Here is a 24230-nt window from a genome sequence, read left to right as displayed (position 1 = left end):
AAGAATCTTATGCTTCATTATATGCATTACATTTCATTACATCTAGTATGGTAATGTTTAAAATCACATATCATACATTTTATTAATTATACTGCAAATTAAAGGTTTATTCAACTCTCCATTCAGCAAATGGTAATTAAATGCCTACTGTTTCCAGCACTATGTTTAGGTCCGCAGCTAAAAGGGAAAATGGCAGTTCCTCCTCTCACTGTGTTTATGGCCTGGGGAAGGAAAAAGACTAATTATGAAGCATATATAACGCACTAGGCTAAGCAATAGGATTATTGGTTGGATTTTTCATTCTATTATTAGTTGTATTATTCATTCTATGAGGGAAATCAGTCTAGCCTTATTGGTTTAAGGAAATCTTCCTCAAACAACTGACAACTGTAATAACAGTGGGAGAATTAGGGGTTAGAAAGTTTAAACGATGGATGCACATTGTCTAGATGGAGAAGTGCACACATACAGACCAAAAATTGAGGGAGGACATGGGTTTGGGCATGAAATATTGTTAGGATATAGAGAACAAGTGAGGGAGGAAAGAACGACCTTGAATAACATACTAAAAAGTTTGCACTTCATCTAAGATCAGTAAGTATTCAGTGAAATATTTTGCCAGGAGAATGACATGATAATTTTTATTAAAAAATATTTGTAGTGGCATGGAGAATCTATTGGAAGGAGTCAGAGAAAATTAGTCTATTCAAACTCTATTTCATATAACAATGCAGGAAAAATTATTGTAATCCACACTGAGGTAACAAGAAGAAGAATGAAGAGTATAGGTGCAAAAATTATGATTAGTGTTAGTCTCAATAGAATTTGTTGCTTCTGGATATGAACAGTGAGATAAATGGGTGTTATGGATTTATGACTTACCAACTCAGCTATGAGCAAATTAGCAGCATATGGTACTGTTTCTGAGAAGAGAATACAGGGGAAGAAAAATTGTGAACTCAAATCAATTGAGTTTTTGCAGAAATACCATTTGACCCAGCCATCCTATAACTGGATATATCCCCAAAGGAATATAAATTATTCTAGTATAAAGACACATGCATGTGTATGTTCATTGCAACACTATTTACAATAGCAAAGACATAAAATCTACCTAAATGTCCATCAATGATAGACTGAATAAAAAAAATGTGGTACATATACACCAAGAAATACTATGCAGCCATAAAATAGAAAGAGATTATGTCCTTTGCAGGGACATGGATGGAGCTGGAGGTCATTATCCTTAGCAAAATAATGCAGGAACAGAAAACCAAATACCACATGTTCTTAATTAAAATTGGGAGCTAAATTATGAGAACACATGGATACCTAGAGGGGAACAACACACACCGAGACCTTTTGGAGGGTGAAGGGTGGAAGGAGGAAAATGATCAGGAAAAATAACCAATGGGCACTAGGATTAATATCTGGGTGATGAGATAGTCTGTACAGCAAACCCCTATGACACAAGTTTACCTATGTAACTAACCTGCACATGTACCCCTGAACTTAAAAGTCTAAAAAATAAATAAATAAAATTGAAATGCTTTTAAAACAACAAAAACACCACAATGATATTTATCAATGATAATAGCATATACAGGCCTTAAGGAAGAACTCAGATGGATACATATATTTTGGAAAGTCATCAAAATATAAACAATAATTGAAGTCAAGTTGTAAGGTCAAATTTCGAAGAATGAATATGGAGAGGGAAAAATTAAAAGACCTATCTCTAATGACAGACATTTTCTTTACAGAAAATTTTGAAAAGGCCTAGGAAAGAGTCTTTCAAATTTCTGAGAAGCATTCCTATGAATGACCTAAGTAAAGCAATAAAACCAATATTTTCTATTCATTGGAAATTTCTTCTCTGTGATACAATGCATCTGTTCTGTGATACAAAGATAACATGTATTATGAAGATATGGTGAATGACAAAAAACTTTATATATTACTAATATTAAATATTTCTTATTCTAAATGTAACTAGAAAATTTAAAACTAGTAACTAGTATATTAAAAGAAAGACCACAAACTTGAATGTATCTTCAGGAAACTAAAATGTCACCTAGCAGACTTGGATAAAAAATAGAAATTCAAGAAAAAAATATACAACTAGAAAAATGTAAAACTCAATGAACTAGTCAAAGAGCAAATTAAGAAGATTTAAAAAGATCTTCAATACAATAGATCTGTCAGAAAAAAAAATGCCATAAGAGCACAAGGAAACAGGAAAGATCAAGGATAGAATGAAAATGTCTGATAGGTGTTTGGGATTTCAGAGAGGGAGGAGAGAAAATGGGGCAAATGCCATATTTTAAAAGATAACTGGAAGATTCCAGAAGTGTCAAACGCCACCAATCCTCATATTCAACCAATCAAATAAATCTGAAACACAATCAATCTGAAACTGGACATGTAGACATTTGTCCAGTAATATAAAAACTAGTCAGGAAATTAAATGCAAAGAGAAAGTCTTAACAATTTATAGAGCAAAGGGAGAAATTAAGAACAGAAAATGGACAGTCTGAGAGGAGAGATGATTCTCAGCAGGGATAATGGAGGCAAGAAGGCTGTGTAATGTAAATCTGCATGCTGAGAGAATTGTCAATGTGAGAATCTACATATGGTAAAAATATTTGTAATGGAAACATAGTGCTACTATTAGGTCACTCTAAGGGAAGTGCAGCTCCAGCCCCAATCCCCTGGCTTCAGGGTCTCTTCCTGGGCTCTTCTCTAGTGTCTCCCTGACAAGTCTGAAAATCCATAGGGCCTTTGAGGTATGCCCATCAGTGCCCATGACCTATTGTCTCCTGTTATAGTCCATAGAGCTAGAATCCCAGAATTCTGTGCAGCAATAGGCTCAAGTCACTTTGAAAGACTCTACAGGAAACTTCAAGGTGTGCTTTTGCATGGGCTATAAAAATATTAAGGATGGGTATATAGAAGAGATTTTTCAGAGTCTGTCTAAAGCAGAACTTTACTAAATAATTCTAAAGGCAATTATTCATTTAGAAGGAAAACTAAAGATGGAATTTAAAAAATATTCAAATACTCAAAAAAGGAAAAGATAGAAACATAAAAATAAAACAAGAACAACCAATTGAAAGCAAAAATTAAAGCTATAAATAAAAGAAAACATCAGTAATCAGTTTAAATCTAAATGGTCTAAATGCTCCAGCTATATATGGTTTTCAAGAAACACATGTAAATATAAGAAACCAAAATGTTGAACTCCAAAGGAAAAACAAGAAGTATATTATGTATATTCTACTCAATAGAAATAAGTTGTGGCTCTGTTTATATAAGGCAAAAAAGAGTTTAAGGAAAAAAATTTATACTGTCTCTCTATATGAAAACTATATAATGATTAAAGCTTCAATTTACTAGAAATACATAACAATTTTAAATTAGCATGCCCCTGTGACTATAGCTTTATAATCTGTCTTTGAGTCAGGGTTCTCCAATTGCAAGTGACAGAAAGAATCTCTAACTTAAGTAGACAAGAAAATTTTTGGTAATATCTGTATTGATTAGCTCACAATGTTGAGAGAGAAGCAGGACTACTAGAGAATAGATGAGAATTCTAGACGTTAAGATCTGAAACTAGGATGTAATCAGGTTATAGTGCCACAGTGGGCATAGCTGGCACCCACAGTGCTGCTGGACACAGGTGTTGTGGCCATCAAATGCCCCCAAGACTTTCACTAAATTTGTCCTGGTGAACAAATTATATACTTCAGTATTTACCTTTGAATTACTTGTTTAATGTTAAGAGGTTCAGAATAGGAGCACTTTGTTGTGTCCCAGCTTTTAACCAGTTCAGGGAAGGAGTATCTAATCCCTTGGGCTTCCTGATTGGGAATAATGGAATATTGTGCCTTCCATTTGTGTTTTGTTTTATTAGGGGCAGAGTGGGAAGCTTCAAACATTTACGTAAATTCCTCAATTTTTTAAGTAACTATATAATTTTCCAAGTAACACATGACCACATAGAATGAGGTTTATTGTTATTTTTTTATCTCTTTTTTATTTTTATTATTATTATTTTTTCCAGACAGGGTTTTGCCCTATCATCTAGGCTGGAGTGCAGTGGGGCAATCTCGGCTCACTGCAACCTCTGCCTCCCAGGTTCAAGCAATTCTCCTGCCTCAGCCACTTGAGTAGCTGGGACCACAGGTGTATGGGACCACAGGTGTATACCACCACACCCAGATAATTTTTGTATTTTTAATAAAGACAGGGTTTTGCCATGTCGGCCAGACTGGTCTCGAACTCCTGGCCTCAAGTGACCCACCCACTTCCCAGAGTGCTGGGATTACAGACTTGAGCCATTGCACCCTGCCTTTTATCTTTTTATAGCACTGAAAATAGAGCCAAAGTGTTCTGTCAATTCCTTTCTGTGTCTAGCTACACACACCCACATATATATCTAGCTGGGTATTTAGTGAAACATAAATTAAATTAGAAACAAGAAATACTGAGATAAAATATTATCCTAGCAAATAACAGAATAATAACTTCCCTTAAAGCTATAGCCTAAGGTTCAAAGACTATTTGTTTTTATGGATATGATTACTCAGAGGGATTTTTACCATGCCTTTTCATGCTTAATTCTCAATGTAATTTCTGAATTATTGATTCATCTACAAGTTCCTAAAAACAAACTTAATAATTAAGCATATTAAATTCCATTTTCCAACAACGTATAACTTGTCTCACACCTTTTCTACCCCACTCCTCTCACAAATCATATAGCATTAAGATCTTTGTGTATGGAGCTCTGACTACCAGTAATCTCTTAGCCTAAACTGGTCATGAAGAAGCATCTGGCAATTTGACAGGGAGAGGCAAGTTGACAGCTTCTCATCAAATATCAAGCGTTACAGTGTTTCCAGTGCCAATCTGGATTTGACAGTTTATGAAGTATCTTAACACAGGCCTACACACAATAAAACAGGTAGCAGCTACAAAACTGATTTTGTCTTATTTAGTGCTGAAAAAAAATTCTGTTGCCCAGAAGGTAGAAATATTTTAAGAAAGCGACACTGCTCTACCACTGGGAGTATTGACAATACTAAAAATAAGACATTTTACTAGTTTAAAACATTGTACTTGGCCCAGGAGGAGAAAATAATGGTATTTAATAAGAAAATTAGATTGATGTGAAAACAGAATTCCTATCCACATGATTAGTTATCAACTTGAACAAAGTATATTTCATGTGTGTGTGTGCATGCACACAGACAAACAAATGTGGTCACTCAGGCATATGCACATACATACATAAACAATAAATATATTATAAAAGCATTGTTGAATTGTGCCTTGTAGATTATTTCTTTTATTCAAAAGTAAAACTTTAATATATATAATATATACTTTTTATAGTATATATATACATATATACACTTATTGTATATATATACTTATAGTATATATAGTATATACAGTATATACATATACATAGTATATACATACTTATAATATATATAGTATACACATATAGTGTATATATATATACACACATATACTTATATGTATATATATATCCTTTTTTTTGAGACAGAGTCTTGCTCTGTCATTTCATCTGGAGTGCAGTGGTGCAATCTTGGCTCACTGTAACCTCCGCCTCTCAGGTTCAAGGGATTCTTCTGCCTCAGCCTCCAGAGTAGCTGGGAATACAGGTGCATCCCACCACGCCTGGCTAATTTTTGTATTTTTAGTAGAGACGGGGTTTCACCATGTTGTCTAGGCAGGTCTCAAACTCCTGATCTCAGGTGATCTGCCCACCTCAGGCCCCCAAAGTGCTGGGCTTACAGTTGTGAGCCACCATGCCCTGCCTATCTACTATATTTAAGAATTAGAAATGATAATATATTATGATTTTAAAGAAAAACAAATAAATTCTTAACATATTGTAATTAGTGATAGAATCAATATATTTTCGCCCTGTTACCAGTCCGGTAAAAATGTTTTGACATTATTTAAATGTGATAAGCTGATGAAAATCATTAGATACATTGCAGATTTCAATATATCACCATCAGTATATTAGATTATATTAGGAAATAAAGAAAGCAATATCTTTTATTGTTTTCTAAATTTTAAATTAGTCAGCTTGTAAGACATTATGCAAAATTTAATATATTCTCTCTCAACATTGTGAGCTCATCAAAACCGATATTACCAAAAGTTTTCTTGTCTGCTTAAGTTAGAGATTCTTTCTGTCACTTGCAATTGGAGAACCCTGACTCAAAGAGAAATTATAAAGTTATAGTCACAGGGGCATGCTAATTTAAAATTGTTATGTATTCCTAGTAAATTGAAGCTTTAATCATTATGTAGTTTTCGTATAGAGAGCCAGTAAGAATTTTTCCCCTTAAAGCCTCTTTTGTCTTATATGAACAGAGCCACAACTATTTCTGTTGAGTAGAATATACATAATATACCTATTGTTTTTCCTTTCAGATTATGAAAATATCATCAGATTATTTATTAGCACAAAAAGAATGTGGGTAGCAATGTCTTAGCGTAGCAAATATAAAGTAACCACTCTTTTTTGTTAGAATGTTAGTAAACTTTGCATTATTACCATACTCAGTACCACATCTCTTTATTTATTGGATCCAGATGAGCATTTACAAATGAATGGCCCTCATATTTGACATGACAAGCAGAAGTAAGGAGAAATCATTATACTTTGATGAGATCCCAGTGACCAACCATGGCAGCTACTCAGGATTTTCCTGCCATTTTCAGCTGTCCTGCTGCAAGCTGAGACAGTGTATAGGATATTATGAAGATAATTGGGAATTGTGACCTTTTCCAAAGAAACTTTCAAAAACCATTTTATTCTGTTTTTCAGGCTGATGTCTTCTCTGTTTCTCTGACCTTTCAGTGACAGCCATCATGACCCCCACAGCCCCTGCTCTTTCCACATGTGTGTAAGTCCTAACTCCTTATTAAACTCTTTTGTCTCCTGTTACTTAGTGTGACTCTATTTACTTGACAATATCCATAAAGGTGACCTCACTAAAAGATGTAATGCACAGACTTTAATGACAAACACTGAAAATCTCTAACTGTTATGGGAATCAAGCAGCTATATAGCCTCTAAGTACTTGCAATCTGTGTGTGCAGTCTCAAGGCAGAGCTGACCCATTATCCTAATAAAAAACAATCAACAAAATTACAGCAAGCTACAGGGAATAATTTCTAGTGTTTTATAGCACTATAGGATTATGATTAGCAATAATATATAGTTTTAAATAATAGTTAGATATAGGATATTGAATATTCCCAATACAAATAAATGATAAATGTTTGTGATGATGGATGTTAATTACTCTAATCTGATCTCTATGCATTCTATGTATTGAAACATCACTATGTACTCCATAAAGTACTTTTATAAGTAAAACAAAACAGTTAACATTTCTTTAAAAAATGAAAGTTAAATAAACATAAAAAACAATTACTGAAAAGCAAACAACAAAAATGTTCCCCCTTCCTAATGATCTAAATTGTGTTCCTTGATAGCCCTCCTTAATATCCCTTCTTGGTAAATTTTGCTTTATCTTATATTGGAATACTTGAAGTAATATTGGTCTAAATGGCAGAAATCACATAGCTCTTATTGTGAATAACAAATCCAGGGCTGTATCCCCTACTCAGACAATGTGTTTTTCATGTGTTTTATTAATTTCTACTTATATCTAGTTTCAATCACTTTATCCAAGCAGAGAGGGAGTATCATTTTTTTGGCAAAGACAAAACTTTAAAAAATTATTACCAAAAAACCCTCTAGTGTCTTCTTTTTGGAAAAGCAAATAGGAGAGGTCTGTCTCAGATAAAATTTTAGTTTTTCTCCTTTGTGTTGCCCTCATTGAGGGCAAAGATCAAGCCTTGCCTGTCAACACGAACACCTTTTTCCTTCTCAACTACAGCGTACAGCACAGCACTTTGCACATAAATAGGTTTTCTCTAAATGTTTTTAATTAAAATAGTAAAGTTTAATTTCAAGTAAGGTGAAAAATGGGGAGATTAGACAGAGTGCCACACTGGGAGAACTAGAAAAACTATAGTCAGATTATACTTACTGCATAAATGTGCTAGGACCAGTCCATGGCATGGTAAGGATAAGAACAGAATGACAAAGATAATTTATGTTTAATATGAAACTTTAGCCTTCTATTCCATATATGTATATGATTACATATACATACATCTACATGGGAAATAGATAAGCCATTATAGTTTACCTTTTTGAACTTGTAAAAGTAAGTTTGTTCCATCAACTATGATGCTTGCAATAATTTTGTAAAGAGCTAGCCACTTTCATAGGCAAATGCAAACTACTCATATATCATTTCCTCTAAGAAACTTTTGATTCCAACTCAAATTTAATTACTCACTCCCGTTCTTGTGACCCCATTTTATATTACAGCAAATTTTATCACAGCTATTTTAACATTTTATTGTACTTACTATTTTTACTGAGCTGTTGTACTCTTGCACTGTGTGTGTGTTGGAGACATAAAGTAAGAATTAAAAATATCTACTTTGATATCAACTTGTATAGTCACTAGGAAATTATTTGTTGAATGAGCACCTATGACTAAGGGATGAGGACCACACTTTTCAGGATTCCATAAGAAAACTTTGCAAGTCTCTGGCCCTCAGCCCAGCAACTTTGCTGTTCAGATGACCACATGTGATAATAAGTTAAAAGGAAACTTTTTTTTTAAACCTGTCTAGACAGTGAACTCTACATCATTGTGACACTATAAGGAAGTGAAGTACTCAGCTCTAGGTGACAGCATCCCTGGCAGTGATGCTGGCATTTCAGGATTGCAATTGGCAGTGGTGAGGCTTCCACAGGCAACTGTGCAAAGCACGAATGGGCAAGTGGTGGCTGGAGTAGGAGAAGGAGACTAGGCTAATACACTGGGGGGACTGCAGTTCATAAATTTGAAGTGGGTTTGTACAAAGGACTCCTCTGAAATGCCCAGAAATAAGCACGAGATACTGTAGAAGGGAGAGTTGTGCTCACATCATTATGTAGGTCAGGGCTATCAAACCAAAAGTCATTGAGTAAAAGGATTGACAAGCAATTTTGAGGCCCCAGCTAAAATTGGAAACTATAAATCTGTCCCACTTGTCAGAGTTATGGGATTTTTCTCCAGGGAAGCTCAGCAGCCCAGAAGCTGGAAAATGTCTGTGATTAGATAGGTCTAGCTTGGAGTTGCGTTTCGAAGAAAGTAGAAGAAAGGCAGAAGAACAGGGGCCTTGAAAATAAGAATGACAAGAAATGGCCAAACATGATGATGGATTTCATCAAGAAAGTAAAGCCAAGAAGCATGATATGAAAAACATACATATGAGGGATTAAAAGACCAAAGTGTTTGTTATTAGAGAGAAGGACTTAGTATATAGTTCAGTTCACAGGATTGTAAATCCTGCTTGTGACCTCAGGAGTGATTTACTGAAGATAAATGATGAGAAATAAGTTACAGAAAATATTAAGAAATTCTGAGTGCAATAAAGTCACTCAAAAGTAATGGGAATTGTACAAATACAGAGAAAAAAATGAGCCATTTGTCACATTCTCCTTGAAATGTAAGACTACACCTGATATTTGGAAGATGTATTAATCAAAGCAGATAACAATTGCTATTCTTAAAATACCCAAATCTCATTCATTAACAACAAAAAAGCTCTTTTTTAAATTCACATCACAGTCCAAAAGAGTGTGTAGCAGATTGTGTTCAAGGTGATTTAGGTACTCCAGATCCTTCCACACTCTTGGCTTTTTGCAGGATTTGTCGCATTTGGCTGGGAGATGAGGGGAGAGACAGAGTGAGAAGGGTCAAGCAAGATGTTTTCGAGGCTAGTCCTAGGAGTAGTACAATTTAGGTCCATAAATTTCCCATTGGCTGGAACTCCAATGGCCCCACACAATTATCAGAAAGCTGGGAAATATAGGTTGGTTATGTGTGTTCAAAGGAGAAGCATGAATAATGGTAAACACGAGCATTCCTTGCTACACCAGGTGATTGTGAAAACATTTCTGCATGGTATGAACCTTCAAGAACATAATTTTACAATGAAGTATAAAAATGGCTATAATCTGGAAGGATAGTATAGATCTAGAAAAATCCTTGGCCAGATGAGTATTTGGTGAGAAAATAAGTTGCTTTCTGAGAACGTTGTCCCAGGAGCAAATATTATTCTAACTGAGGGGTCTAAGCACGGTCTTCAAAAACAATGTGAATATATTAAAACTTGATGTGTCACAGTGTCAAAAATGAGGTTTAGTGTTATGTGATTGAGGACACTCAGAAGAAGGGAAAGGCTAGATTAGGACCTGAAATTGAATAGCTGGAGGATTGGTTTTTCTCACAATTATTATTGGGTTGTATGGAAATAAGAAAAGGCATACTGACAGGGAAATAATAGAGATGTTGCATATGCAAAAGATTCAAAATACAACTTCAGTGAAATAAATTGTGAACATTACTGTTACCAGGTGGTCACTAATGAGTTCATCAACTCTTATGTAAACAAGGAGGTAAATAAATTCAAAAAGGCATCGTTGGCATTTGTGTGAAGGGATGTATTTCTATGACAGATGAGTAAAACCATACCTTGTTTACTTTTATTCAGCAAATATTTAGATATCACATGTATTAGTCTGTTTTCATTTTGCTGAAAAAGACATACCTGAGACTGGGCAATTTACAAAAGAAAGAGGTTTAATGGACTTACAGTTCCATGTGGCTGGGGAGGCCTCACAATTATGGTGGAAGGCAAGTAGGATCAAGTCACATCTTACATAGATGGCAGCAGGCAAAAAGAGAGACCTTGTGCAGGGAAACTCCCATTTTAAAACCATCAGATCTCATGAGACTCATTCATTATCATGAGAATAGTGCAGAAAAGACCTGCCCCCATAATTCAATCACCTCCCACTGGGTTCCTCCCATGGCACATGGGAATTGTGGGAGTTACAATTCATAATGAGATTTGGGTGGGGACACAGCCAAACTATATCATCATATATTGTGATAAATCTTCAGGTTTTTTTTTGTGTGTGTGTTTTTGTGTGTCTGTGTGTGTGTGTAAGGTTTTACTCTTTATTCTTTTCAAATAATTTTTTGGCATCTTGTAATATACTTAACACTGCTGGAGAAAAAAATATGTTTGCTTTCAGGGTACTTCAAATATGGTAAAGAGATAATCAGGGATATGCAGGTAAGTGCCACATGTGAAAAAAGTACACATATAAAGTATGCACATAAATATGACAGGAATAAGAGAAATATGACTTAAGTACATGCACACACACACACATGTTAGGGAGCTTGTTTGACTATCCAACAAATGTTTGTATAAGTTGTGGGGCAGAAAATAGGTAGAGAAAGAGAAGAGTAGTGAAATGTGACATGCTTTCCCAGTGGTAGTCATTCCACCAAAATAGAGAGTTTTGTGTAGCTGAAGAAGAGAAACCTGAGGAACTGGCAAATGACAACACTACAGAAGTTGGTATCTAACAGAACATGAAGTGCCTTTGGCTCCATGTTATAGTAATTGAGCTTATAGGAATTCACTGAAAAACTATAAACAGAAATAGCTTTACCAATAGACATTACAGGATGATCACCTCAGCTATTGTGTGAAGGGTGGATTTTGGGAAAACAAGAATGGGGATGAGATTTATTAGGAAGTTATTCCAATTGCTCAGGTAAAAACAGTATATCCTAAACTAGGGCAATGGCAGATGAGAATGAGAAAAAGGAATAGATATGAGATATTAAGAAAGTATATACATTCCCTTACGTGAATCCATGTGCCATATCTAACCAATGCTTGTGAACTTATCAGTTATTGCTGAGTTATAATTATGGATTTATTATGAATATGAATTACTCCTCTTTGATTACTCTAGTTCTTTTTTATAATAGCATTTTAGGTTAGATATTTGGGAAACATAATGTAGACAAAATGTATCTATTTTTGTCAGATGTTTGGCAAAGTTTCTCAAAAAATATTTTGTTTACAAGGTAGAAACCTGAAGCAGGTTTCATATAAGTGAGATAAATTAATACCTGCTATAACAACCATATCCAAAGCACATCAATCAAAACATCAATGTTAGTCTGTTGGGTTGTCTCTAGTGATGTTCCTTGACATTCAGACTTGACCCTATATTCATTAAATATTTCAAAGTACAAAAGGTATTCATCAACCTATGCTACCAAATGGAGCAAATGTTAGCATGGTTATAGAAGTAGAATTTTTAAAAAATTTGTTCAGCAGGAAACCTGATCCATGCTAAAATAATGGCACCTCGTATGGACAACTAGAAACTCCTACCTTATTCTGTTTGCACAGCAAACACAGTCAACCATCAATAAGTGACTTAGCTTAACTACAGTTCATGTGAATCAAAACAAAACAAAACAACTTAATACAAACCATCAGTATTTTATGGCTATGAAAAAAAAATGTCCCTTTAAATTCTGTACTCCTGTGAGAGCGTATCTGAAATGACTTTTCGTTCTTTTTGTTCTGGGCACCATATTTTAGAAGACACAGTAGCAAATGTTTTGTGTCTAGAAGGTAAACAGAGTGATGAAGGTAGGAAATGAATCTTACAAAGAAAACTCGAAAACATAGAATTATTTTCCCTTGTAAAAGTAAAGGAATAAATATTAGAAAGCCTTTCCAGTGACAGTCAGATTGGGCATAGGATATTTTAGGACAAGTGACTAAACATTATTTTAGAATAATTCATAACAAAAAAGTTTCTTACATGGATTGTTATCCAAAAATTGCGCTTCAGGATTTAGGTGGTATGTCACATTTATTCTTCATACTAGTTTCCCCCAAAAGGCATTATTCTTTTCCCGCTTTTATGGATGAATGACTTGATATACAGAAAGGTAATGTGATACACATAGTATGATGCTAATAAATGGTAACACCTTGATTTAAACCCACAAAGTCTGGGAAGATTGTCTTTAGGATCCTTGCCTTTAACCTGTGTTTGCTGCCACTCAAGTGAAAGGAGAAACTTCTTGTTAGTGGAACTACACAAATTGTAAATGAATAGCCCTGTGAGATGATTAGATATCCATCTCTAATCTAGCCACAAATAAAATTGATGCCCAACTGCAGGTGGATGTTTGAAAAATAACTTTGGCAATGAGTGAGATATTGGGACAGATAATGACCTGGATCATTTCACACTTCTTGTTCTTTGTTTTGCTTTCTGCTTCTATAATGCAGAATATTCATTACTATTTATTTTTTCTCTCTCTCTAGTTATTTTTTCTCTCTCAGACAATGCAGAGTAGAAATGAATTGTGACGGCCGGGCGCGGTGGCTCACGCCTGCAATCCCAGCATTTTGGGAGGCCGAGGCGGGTGGATCACGAGGCTAGGGGATCGAGACCATCCTGACTAACTCGATGAAACTCCGTCTCTACTAAAAATACAAAAAATTAGCCGGGCGTGGTGGCAGGCGCCTGTAGTCCCAGCTACTCGGGAGGCTGAGGCAGGAGAATGGTTTGAACCCGGGAGGCAGAGCTTGCAGTGAGCAGAGATCACGCCGCTGTACTCCAGCCTGGGCGACAGAGCGAAACTCCGTCTTAAAAAAAAAAAAAAAAAAGAATTGTGACATTTAACCACAGGTTTTTGATCATAGTTTGATAACTCTTACTAGTGTCCAAGCTTGTGTACTTGCAGATGCTTCTGCCTGAGAACCATGGCAAGCTGTGGCAGGTAATTAAATCATGTAAGTCCCCATGGCCAGGGTTAGAATTAGTAGAGATTAGAAAATAAAGTTTTGATAATTGTAGGGTCATTTCTTTTTCAGCTGAAAATTCTCCTTCATTAGCTATAGCCACTCTCTTCCTATTTAGATAAGCCTAATATTGAGTATACCTAGGAAGGGAGATGCAGATGCCACTAATTTTTCTCTGTATTCAAAGAAAAGCACATAGCTAAATTATACCCAATTTACTTAAACCAAAAAATAGTATGGATTGCATGACAATTTTTCATCAATATTTCTAACAAATTACTGAGCTACAATTGCCTTATTGTCTTTCCTCTTTTAGCTATTTATTTATCAATAATAATTTGTCTTTTGAAACTTCATTTGATTTTGTTCACTTCTACTTTGGTGTTCTTCAATTCACAGCTAGGCCTGGGCTTGTTATAGATTCACCTCAGGGCCAGGTGTGGTGGCTCATGCCTGTAATCCCAACAGTTGGGAAGCCGAGGATGGTAGATTACTTGAGCCCAGAAGTTCAAGACCAGCCTCGCTAATGTGGTGAAGCCCTGTTGCTACAAAAAGTACAAAAATTAGCTGGGCATGGTAGTGCACACCTGTAGTCCCAGCTACTTAGGAGGCTGAGGTGGGAGGATCGCTTGAGCCTGGGAGGTCGAGGCTGTATTGAGTCATGATCACCCAGCCTAGGTGACAGAGGGATAAATTGTCTCAAAAATAAATAAATAAATACATAAATAACATAGATTCACCTCAGACCACTGGTCGTTTTCTGTGTTATTGAATCACTAAGGGTTTCAATAGATGTTCCTAACAGAAAAAGGGAACATAGTTTTCATAATTTTTTTCTCTTTATTAACATTTTCCTTGAAAAGTCGTGAAATGCCTAAATTATTTCAAATACATTTTAAATCTTTATGAATTAAAATAAAAACATACATATATTTAATAATTCTTGATGATATGCAAAGACAAATGCCTTTATTTTTATAATTAATTAAATAATGCAGTTTTTAAACACAAAAATTAAAGAATAGTAATTATGTTTGGGCTCAAAAAATGAAATTAGACTATATAACATATTATAGTAATCAAATCCATATAGAATATTACCCCATGTTCTGTTTCTATTTTCTAAAACTGTCAGAAAAAATTACAGCTTGGAAAACAGAAAATTGTCTTGATACTACAAAAGTATCCTTGCAAAATTAAGAGTTTTTCCAAAAAGTCAATTTTTAACTAGTTGATAAATCATTTTATTAATGAAAAGTACTAAAAATTTTATAACCTCTAGAATAAAAGCAAGTAGATTCAGTTAAATTCATTTTGGTTCATATATATTGGGTATTTATCAACTTCACGTGAAAATACAAAAGTGTATTTAGTATAAAAATGCAAATTTCTTTTGTTAAAATATGGTTTAAAATAATTTAAGGATCAACTTGAGAGATTTATTTTAAAATAAGTTTATATTTTTGAATACAGTTTCAGATTCTTGTTCTTTGAAACAATATCTCTGCATGTTGTTTGCTGTGATGATGAGGGCCTCTGCTTTCTGTCAATGTTCCTCATCAGTGTCAGCCAACCTTCTTTGTACACACAAGGCAAGACAGTCAACTCACTATTCATGGTACCTGGTTTGCTCATTTCCACTCATACATGCCTGAAAACCTTCCTTCTGGTCCCAATTGTCGTCTGTTCCTAACTCACCTTTTTGAAAACTAAATGGCACTTGTTGATTTAGAAGTTTATAATATTATCTGATTCCTAAATATATCTATCTATTGGATTGGATTTCAACCTCGACTTTTTTTTTTTTGAGACAGAGTCTCAGTCACCCAGGCTGGAGTGCAGTGGTGGATTTTGGCTCACTGCAACCTCCACCTTCCCAGTTCAAGTGATTCTCCTGCCTCAGCCTCCCAAGTAGCCGGGATTACAAGCACCTGCTACCACACTCTGCTAATTTTTGTATTTTTAGTAGAGATGGGGTTTCATCATGTTGGCCAGGCTGATCTTGACCTCTGGACCTTAGGTGATCAGCCCACCTCAGCCTCCCAAAGTGCTGGGATTGCAGGTGTGAGCCGCCGTGCCTGGCCCAGCTCCTTGACTTTCTAACAGTTGGAAACAGACCTATTACTTTTATTTCTCCCAAAAATAATGGTAATTTTTAAAAAATATAATTTATCTCTATAGAGATACAGTCTGTAGTTTATATTTTCCTAATATTTCTTAGTGGCAGGAATTTTGAGAGCTCTTTATGTAGGTAGATTTTTTTAAGATTTGAATTGATTTTGTGGAAATATACAAGAAGTCCTCACTAATGTTTCTTTTTTTTTTTTCTTTTTCTTTTTTCTTCTTCTTTTTTTTTAAGACGGAGTCTGGCTCTGTCGCCCAGGCTGGAGTGCATGGTACGATCTCGGCTCACTGCAACCTCTGCCTCCTTGGTTCAAGCAATTCTCCTGCCTCAGCCTCCTGAGTCGCTGGGATTACAGGCACGTGATGCCACCTGCCTGGCTAATTTTTGTATTTCTAATAGAGATGGGGTTTTACCCTGTTGGCCAGGCTGATCTTGAACTCCTGACCTCAAATGATCAGCCTGCCTCGGCCTCTCAAAGTGCTGGGATTACAGGCCTGAGCCACTGCGCCCAGCCCTCACTAACAATCTTGGTATGTTCTTGGAAACTGTTACTCTAAGTGAAAGAAGATATAAACAAACCAAGTTTACCATAGGCTAATTGATATAAACAAGAGTTAATTCCTGTAGCGTATTCCTGGTCACAGAAACATCACCAAGCTTCTAAATAAAGATCAAACATTTTAAATATTAAACATTGGAATAAATATGAGTTATACATATATTTTAAAAAGATTAATGGAAACAAGTAAGATAATTATTTACCCAGTTGTTCCAATTTGAGGACATTGGTGGCTGGAGCCTATTACAGCATTCAGCGTGCAAGGTAGAAACCACTCCTAGACAGAAAGCCATTCCATGGCAGGATGCACACACACACACACACACACACACACACACACTCAGACTGAGACCATTTAGACACACCACTTAACCTAACATGCACATCTTTGGGCTGCAGTAGGAAACTGGAGTACCCAGAGTCTACCAATACTTAATGAAAAATATGTATATTGATTAAAACACTGGGAAAAAGAATTAGTAAACAACTTTCTCTTATCAAGGGCTTAGTAAACATTTAATAATTTTAATTATAGAAAAGTTATCAGTTATCTGTTGGCATGTAACAAACTAACCACAAACTTTGTGGCTTAAAATAATAAGATTTATTGAGTTAGGAGTGTAAAGGGTGTGTAGGTGGTTCTGGTAACCAGAGCCAGTCATAGCTAATGCCAGTTATATCTGCTGTCTACTGGCTAGTTGCGTTGGGACTGGCTGGTCGAAAACAACCTCTGCTGGGACAGAAGTTGGATCTATGTGGTCTCATTTTCTAAAAGACTAGATCTCATGCTAGTGAAAAGCTGCTGAGAGAGAGCAGAAGTGTGCAAAGTCTTAGAAAAAGTAGTGTCACACCTGGTACAATTTTACTTCCAATTAAACCTCTTAGTCAAACCACATGGCCAACGCACATTTAAAAGGTAAGGAAGTGCAGACCAATTTTTAATGAGAAAGTTGTAAAGTCACATCATAAAAAAGAGTGGATAACTGAATAGATGGCAAAGGAGGCCATTTTTTAACTTACCATAGTCCAACTGGCACCACTTTTTCATGTCCCTTCTCATATGCAAAATAGGCTCACCCCAACCCAACTCCTGTCCCCAGTCTGGCTCCAATGTCAGAATCTATTTATAGCAAATGTGAATGTGCCTCCTCAGATATGAATCTTCTTGATCCAGAGGCCTAGGAGCATAAGAAGTTACATAACTGCCACATTTTCAATATACAGTAGAGAAAGAAATAGTTCCATTAGAAAGAGGATAGATAGGAGGCACACAGCATTCACTTCTTCCTCTCAGTTCTGAAATCCTGCTGTGAAGGTATTCATAGATCCTCCCCTCTGCGGACAGTGCATGTTCCTTCAGTGGGACCCAGTTCTCCCTGGAGGAGCTCCCCAGTCCATATTACTCCACCGTTTTGTTGATCTCTGCAGATTCAACTGATCTCAGCTAGGCTTGCTCACTGTGAGTTGGCTGGTTTAAGATGCCTCGATTGGGATAATGTGGCTTAGTTTCATATGGTCTCCCATCACTCAGCCCAGGTTTGCTTACATTGATGTGGCAATGTCTTTTGAGGGTAAGACTACAAATTTGCATGCTATGTATAACTTCTACTTTCTACAGGTCAAAGCCAGTCACAAGGTGAGACCGGAATGAAATAGATAAACTACAAAGTACATTGTAAACCAAATACTAACAAGGAGGGGTAGAAAATCGATGTAATTTTAACCATCTCTATGGGTCAAAAAGTATAAGAAAACTACTACAACAGAGAGTAACACATATTTGGATTGTCATAAGCTTATAACAACTACTATTGTATTCTAATGTTCCAATTTTGGCTACAGCAGTTATTAATCTGAAAATATGAAATAAAATCAATTTAAATGTGCATTTTTGGTATTTTTCATGAGAAATATTTTTCAGAAATCAGTGGGTTTTAGAAACATAAATTTTAGTACAAGAGAAAGAATAATTTATAGATATGTAATAAAGGGAACTGAAAATAATTTTTATGGAATAAACTGATATTACTAATACCAATTTTGTACAAAATCTATGATAGATTTAACGTGTATAACAGTTATAAGACTCTATTCTATTTAAAATCCAATTTAAAGATAAATCTTGTATGCCTAAGAAGGAAATAAGTTGTAGTAGATAGTAAATTATAAGTATCTAGTGGTATACATAATGAGTTCTGTAGAGAATCAAAGGATGATTGTTTAACTAGGATGCATAATCAACAGAAATTTCTTGTCAGGTGAACAACATAAAACAAGTCTTAGAGAATACATGCATAACTCTTGGTCAGAGGCCAGTGAGAAATCTAGTTGAAGTATGAGGAAACTTCAGAAAAACAACAAAGACCAGCTGAAATTTAGATTAATCAAGAGTATGAGGCTTTAAAGGAAAGTTAGAATTGTTAGACATTAAGTTAACAGAATGTAAAATATTAGAAATTATGCAAGATAATTAAATAACACAAAAGATATTGTAAAAGAATCTAGCTGGGGCTAATTGTGTATTGAAATTAGAAGCTAGTCAGGCAGGGATATCAGAATGAAATTGTTGTCATAAATTTTATAGATGTTGGCATTGAATACTGAGATCAGTTTTGATGGTAAAATAGAGTGAATTTATTAAGGAACTATCATAAGCAGAGAATTAATAAGTAAATAATCAATATTACATCAGTAAAGTTATGCCTATGCCCATATGCCTCAATAAGAAGCCTTGTTTGAACTGAACATATCTGCTAAGATTGCAACGTGAGGGGAATGGTGCAGGTATTGCCTAACAAGGATAAAGGAACCAATAAAAAGACAGTACCACAGCCGCATTCACAAACAAAATTGATATCCTTGGGACATGAACATATTTGGCTGCATCCAAACTTAGCATGTCCGGAATATTCCTTGGTACAGCTGACAAAAATATGGCTAACAGTGGTTTCCACAAGAGATACTATCTGGTATTCCTTCTTTTCCCAAACCCACATAGAAATTCAGTTTCCCAGTTCTTGTGTGGAAATGGAAGTTATTTTATAACAGAATTTATTGTAGGAGGAGACATACCATTTATTATAAACATATTATTTTAAAAAATTTATCTCAAATGTTATTAAGTATTTAGAGTCAGGGACTTCTAGGTGCTGTGGACACAAAGATGACAATAACTTTGACATAAACTTATCACAGTTGTGACTGTACACTTACGCCAATGACCATTTGGGTGTTAAGAGAACAAAAATTAGGCGAGGGAGGTATTTCCTGTGCTTGGAGATGTGCAGATAAGTTTCTCAGGACAGGTAACTTTTAACTTTAGTTTTAAAGAAGGAGAAATTTCTCTAGAAAACTTAGGAAAACAATTCTGGGTGGAGAGAATACTGTACTAAATAGTCACTGGAGCAGGAAATATTTTTCTTATAAATAATACATGTGAACTATGTAGAAGACATGAGAATTGATCTAGTTTTAACTATCACAGCAGTCCTATGTTACCTAAAATATTTAGCTAAATATGATACTTGGAAATTATTGGGTGAATTGGTGAGGGATTGTGTACTTTGGGAGAGGGAACATAGGTTTTAGGTATGTGTCTGAAGAAAGAGAAGAAATAGATCACAACATTAAATCTATAGAAACAAATACAATGGAAATATTTTCCAGAGTTAGTCCTCAGAACGTATGCTCTTTATATGACCTATAATAAAGATAATGTGGAAATTATTATTTTATTTAATGTACATTTTTCTTGGTTAAAATCTATTTCTTGTATAAACAGTTTGGGTTAAATGAACTGCTTAGTCAACTGTAAAATGCCCTTGTGTAGTCATACTTCTTTTCATTTCAACTCTTTATATGAAAAAACTGTGTATTTGAAAGCTTCTTATAGAATTAACACTTCTATTTGGAGATTAAAAGAATGTTCAAACTAGAGTCTTGGGGAATACGATACACCTCCACACCTATCTCATGTTTTAAATTTAGAAACTCGTGACCCAGCAAATGGCAGCTATAAGAAACATCTATTCCAGGCCAGGCTCTGCGGCTTATGCCTGTAATCCCAGCACTTTGGGAGGCCGAAGTGAGCAAATCACAAGGTCAAGAGATTGAGACCATCCTGGCCAACATGGTGAAAACCTGTCTCTACTAAAAATACAAAAATTAGCTGGGCGTAGTGGTGCACACCTGTAGTCCCAGCTACTCAGGAGGCTGAGGCAGGAGAATCGCTTGAACCTGGGAGGCGGAGGTTGCAGTGAGTGGAGGTCGTGCCACTGCACTCCAGCCAGCCTGGCAACAGAGCGAGACTTCATCTTAAAAAAAAGAAAAAGAAAAGAAACATCTATTCCAAACCTAAATGTAATTGTAAATCAGAAACTTAAAAGTTTAAACTAATTATTAATAAAATTTATAAATTTGCTTTACTTTACAAAATTAAAGCAAGAATTATATCACTTTCTTTGTCTACATGATTTTAAAATCATGGAGTGATTGACGGAGTGGTTTCTAGCTAAATAAATTGATTTGACCAATAGTTCTGCATTGTAGTCATTTTAGAAGGTGCATGTGTCTAAGTACTGGATTACTGTAGATCAAAATAGGTTTAATCTCTAAATAAGAGTATCTGCCAACGTGCTAAAAGCACAATACAGAGTATCACCAACACTTTCATATGTTAAGAAAAAAATTAGCTACAGTAGTATTTATTATTTTATAAAATTTACCGATTTCCTCTATTCCCTTTCCTAAAAACATGATGTATTAAAATCATTGTGTCTACGTCACCACCCAAAGAAAGTAAATATTTACTTTTTTGAGCATCCTTTATTTTCATACTTTATTATTCCTAATCTAAAATCTAATATTCAGTCCTTACTTTGTAACAATCTGCACTGATAATTATAAATGCCTAATCTGTCCGATGTAATACAGGCCAAGCAAAAGATAAAACCAAATTGTGTTACATAAATGAAATGGATTCTGCATAAAATTACTCTACTGATATATAATCTTCTTTATTTTTCATGGCTCTCTTTAAATAAAAATATTTCCTAATTATGCCCTACCATTTTTCTACTTTAATATTTCCGTGTCATTAATGTATGCCTAAAAATGACAGGGAGGTTCTTGCAAATCTCATTAGTTTTTATATCATTGATATTCAATTTCACAAGATAACTTTCGTGTTTCAGACTGCATTCTTAATTTTATTTCCTCAGCTTACTTTAAATATCTAATCACTCATTTGGGCGAATAAATACTCACAGTTGGAATTCAGCTGCTCTTCAACTTTTGGTATATTTTCACAGTCTGTGGAAATTAGAGTAGAGTAAGGGTCATGTGGGTTTCTTAGAAGATTAATTGAAATATTTAGGGAAGAAGACTTTTTACATTAATATTTGGGCAAAGATAATAAAACAGTATAGTTCTGTGAATTATAAGCTGTATTTTAACGTGAATTATTCAGCGCCTATGCAGGCCAGACACTGTTGCTTGAATCAAGTTGAAAATTAATCATATTAATCAATTGTTAACTTTATGTAGTCACAAATATGGAGAGAGAAACCTTATTTTTCACAACATCGCTCGCATAAACATTCAAAAAAAATTAGTCAGTAATTTATTATGTGTCAGGCAAAGTGAAAACACTGGGAAATGCTACAAAGATAAATTATTCACAATGTCTTTACCTTGATAAATCACCGCATTATTGAATCTTGATTTTTTTCCCATGAGCATTTCTCTATACAGTAATAGTGCTAGGTGCTATCAAAATAAGGCAATGATTAATTCAGGATGGGAGAAAACACACTTATTATACGAGCCAACTTTGTGTAGCACAGATAATTTAAAATATCTGTGTTAAAAATCTCTGTGTCATGTATCAACCTATTGGCCTTTGTGTTACTCTGAACAAAGGCTTTGACAATTGAGTGTTCACTTAGACAACAATAGAGAAAACTAAAATTAACAGTAACAACAAACGTATAAGGAGTTTCCACAGTGGAACAGATCAATAGTTCATCTAGTTGGGTATATATATGCTTAGTACTTATTTCCAAAAAAACTGAGACCAGATATTTTAGAGAAAAGCGTAACACTAACATAATGTAACTTAATTTTCAATACTTTCCTATGGGGAAATTTTTTTTCTGCTAAAGATTATATAACATAGAACAACATACTCAAATCATGGTAAAATTATTATCATTCAGTCTGAACAATGAATAAAAATAGTTATTTAAATATATTTGTTTCTTTCAATTAACTTTTGAAGAATTATAAACTTTTAATTACTTTTGGTCATTAAATATGTGAATATACCTGATAAACTTTAAAACTTTGAGAAATAGGGAAATTATTTAATAGCAGACTTGTATATTTTTACTGAAGAATGAAACTAAAGCCTCTAGCCATATGCTCTACGGCTAAGTGATAGAATTATTCTGAACATTATTTTGTTCCTTTTTAAGTTATTTATGTATTCTTAACATTTTCTTAGCTAAGCACTTTTAAACCTCATAGTAAAATTTAAATATAATCCATATACTATATAAAACAGAATGACAATGTGTTCTTTTTTGTTTTCTTTCTAATAAATTAATAATGTCTAGAAGCTAGCAGAAGTTGGATTCTGGAAAAAAAATCAAAAAACTTTTCAATTCTCATATGGTTTTTGAGAGTGGAAATGGCATTAGCTTTCCAAAGCAATAGGCATTTGGTATAAATATAATCCAACCTGTATGTCTGAACGCCAGTATTTTAAGTGTGGCCTACCATGTAACAGCGTAAGTATGGATGTTTTCATAATAGCAGGCCATATCTCCCGTGTATCAGGACAGTGACTTCTTCTTGGGGCATACATGATAAATCCTAGTGAATTTCATAAGCTTGAGCGCTTTGTCTAAATATTGATGTAAAATAAGCTTGAGCCTACTGTCTAAATACTGATGTAAAATGACTTTCTTAATCAAATGTACTTTTTTTTTTTTTTGAGAGGTCTCACTCTGTCACCCAGGCTGGAGCGCAGGGGTGCAATCTCAGCTCACTACAACCTCTGCCTCCCGGGTTCAAGTGATTCTCCTGCCTCAGCCTTCCGAGTAGCTGGGATTACAGAGGTGAGCCACTGCGCTGTTCCCGGATGTATTTCTTAATCAAAATCAGTGTTGGCTAATATAATGATTTTTTAAAAGTTAAGTTTATGGATAGAGATTTAGGGAAAGCATTATTGCAGTGAGGAAAACATGTATTTAAGTGATGTGTGAGCAGCCATATGTAATAGATATATTCTCTAGCCTTCCTATCTACCCAGGCCTTTGGATACCTTCTTCTGTATTATAAAAAAGAAGTTTTGTCATATCATTTTACATGTAGGCCACTTTTGGGTTCAGGAATCATTTAATGAAACAATCAAAATAAACAAAAACAAAAACAAATGTACTAGTCCAAGCCTACTTAAAATACATTCTCCCCTCTTTCATTTGATTTCATTAAAATCTGATCCCTGTGCCAGCTTCACCAGTATAAATCAGCAAAATCTTGTAATCTTTTTGTTATATAACTTATTCCTCGGTTTGAAATGAATCCTCTGATTCTAGTAACTGGTAAAGTGCCATAAGGAAAGTTGGTATTACCTTGCAAAAAGCCTTTCTCTTGTGATGTCACAAGAAGATCCTGATGAAACAGAGGGCCAAGCTCACATAACAGGAAGACACTGATTCTGCCCCCCAG

At 34.8% G+C, this 24230-nt stretch overlaps 1 long non-coding RNA gene across 1 annotated transcript; it reads right to left on the bottom strand.

The window, feature by feature from the left end:
* Nucleotides 1–139: 139 nt before the first annotated feature.
* Nucleotides 140–22270, bottom strand: LOC105377387 (uncharacterized). Its single transcript, XR_939101.2, has 4 exons — nt 22190–22270; nt 21765–21809; nt 883–923; nt 140–221 (listed from the first exon to the last, which is right to left on the bottom strand). It is a non-coding gene; the product is annotated as an uncharacterized LOC105377387 (long non-coding RNA).
* Nucleotides 22271–24230: the final 1960 nt, after the last annotated feature.

This window comes from Homo sapiens, chromosome 4, assembly GCF_000001405.40.
Source record: "Homo sapiens chromosome 4, GRCh38.p14 Primary Assembly".
NCBI lineage: Eukaryota > Metazoa > Chordata > Mammalia > Primates > Hominidae > Homo > Homo sapiens.
The sequence above is the reverse complement of the archived record's forward strand: the minus strand, read 5'-3'. Positions and strand labels throughout refer to the sequence as shown.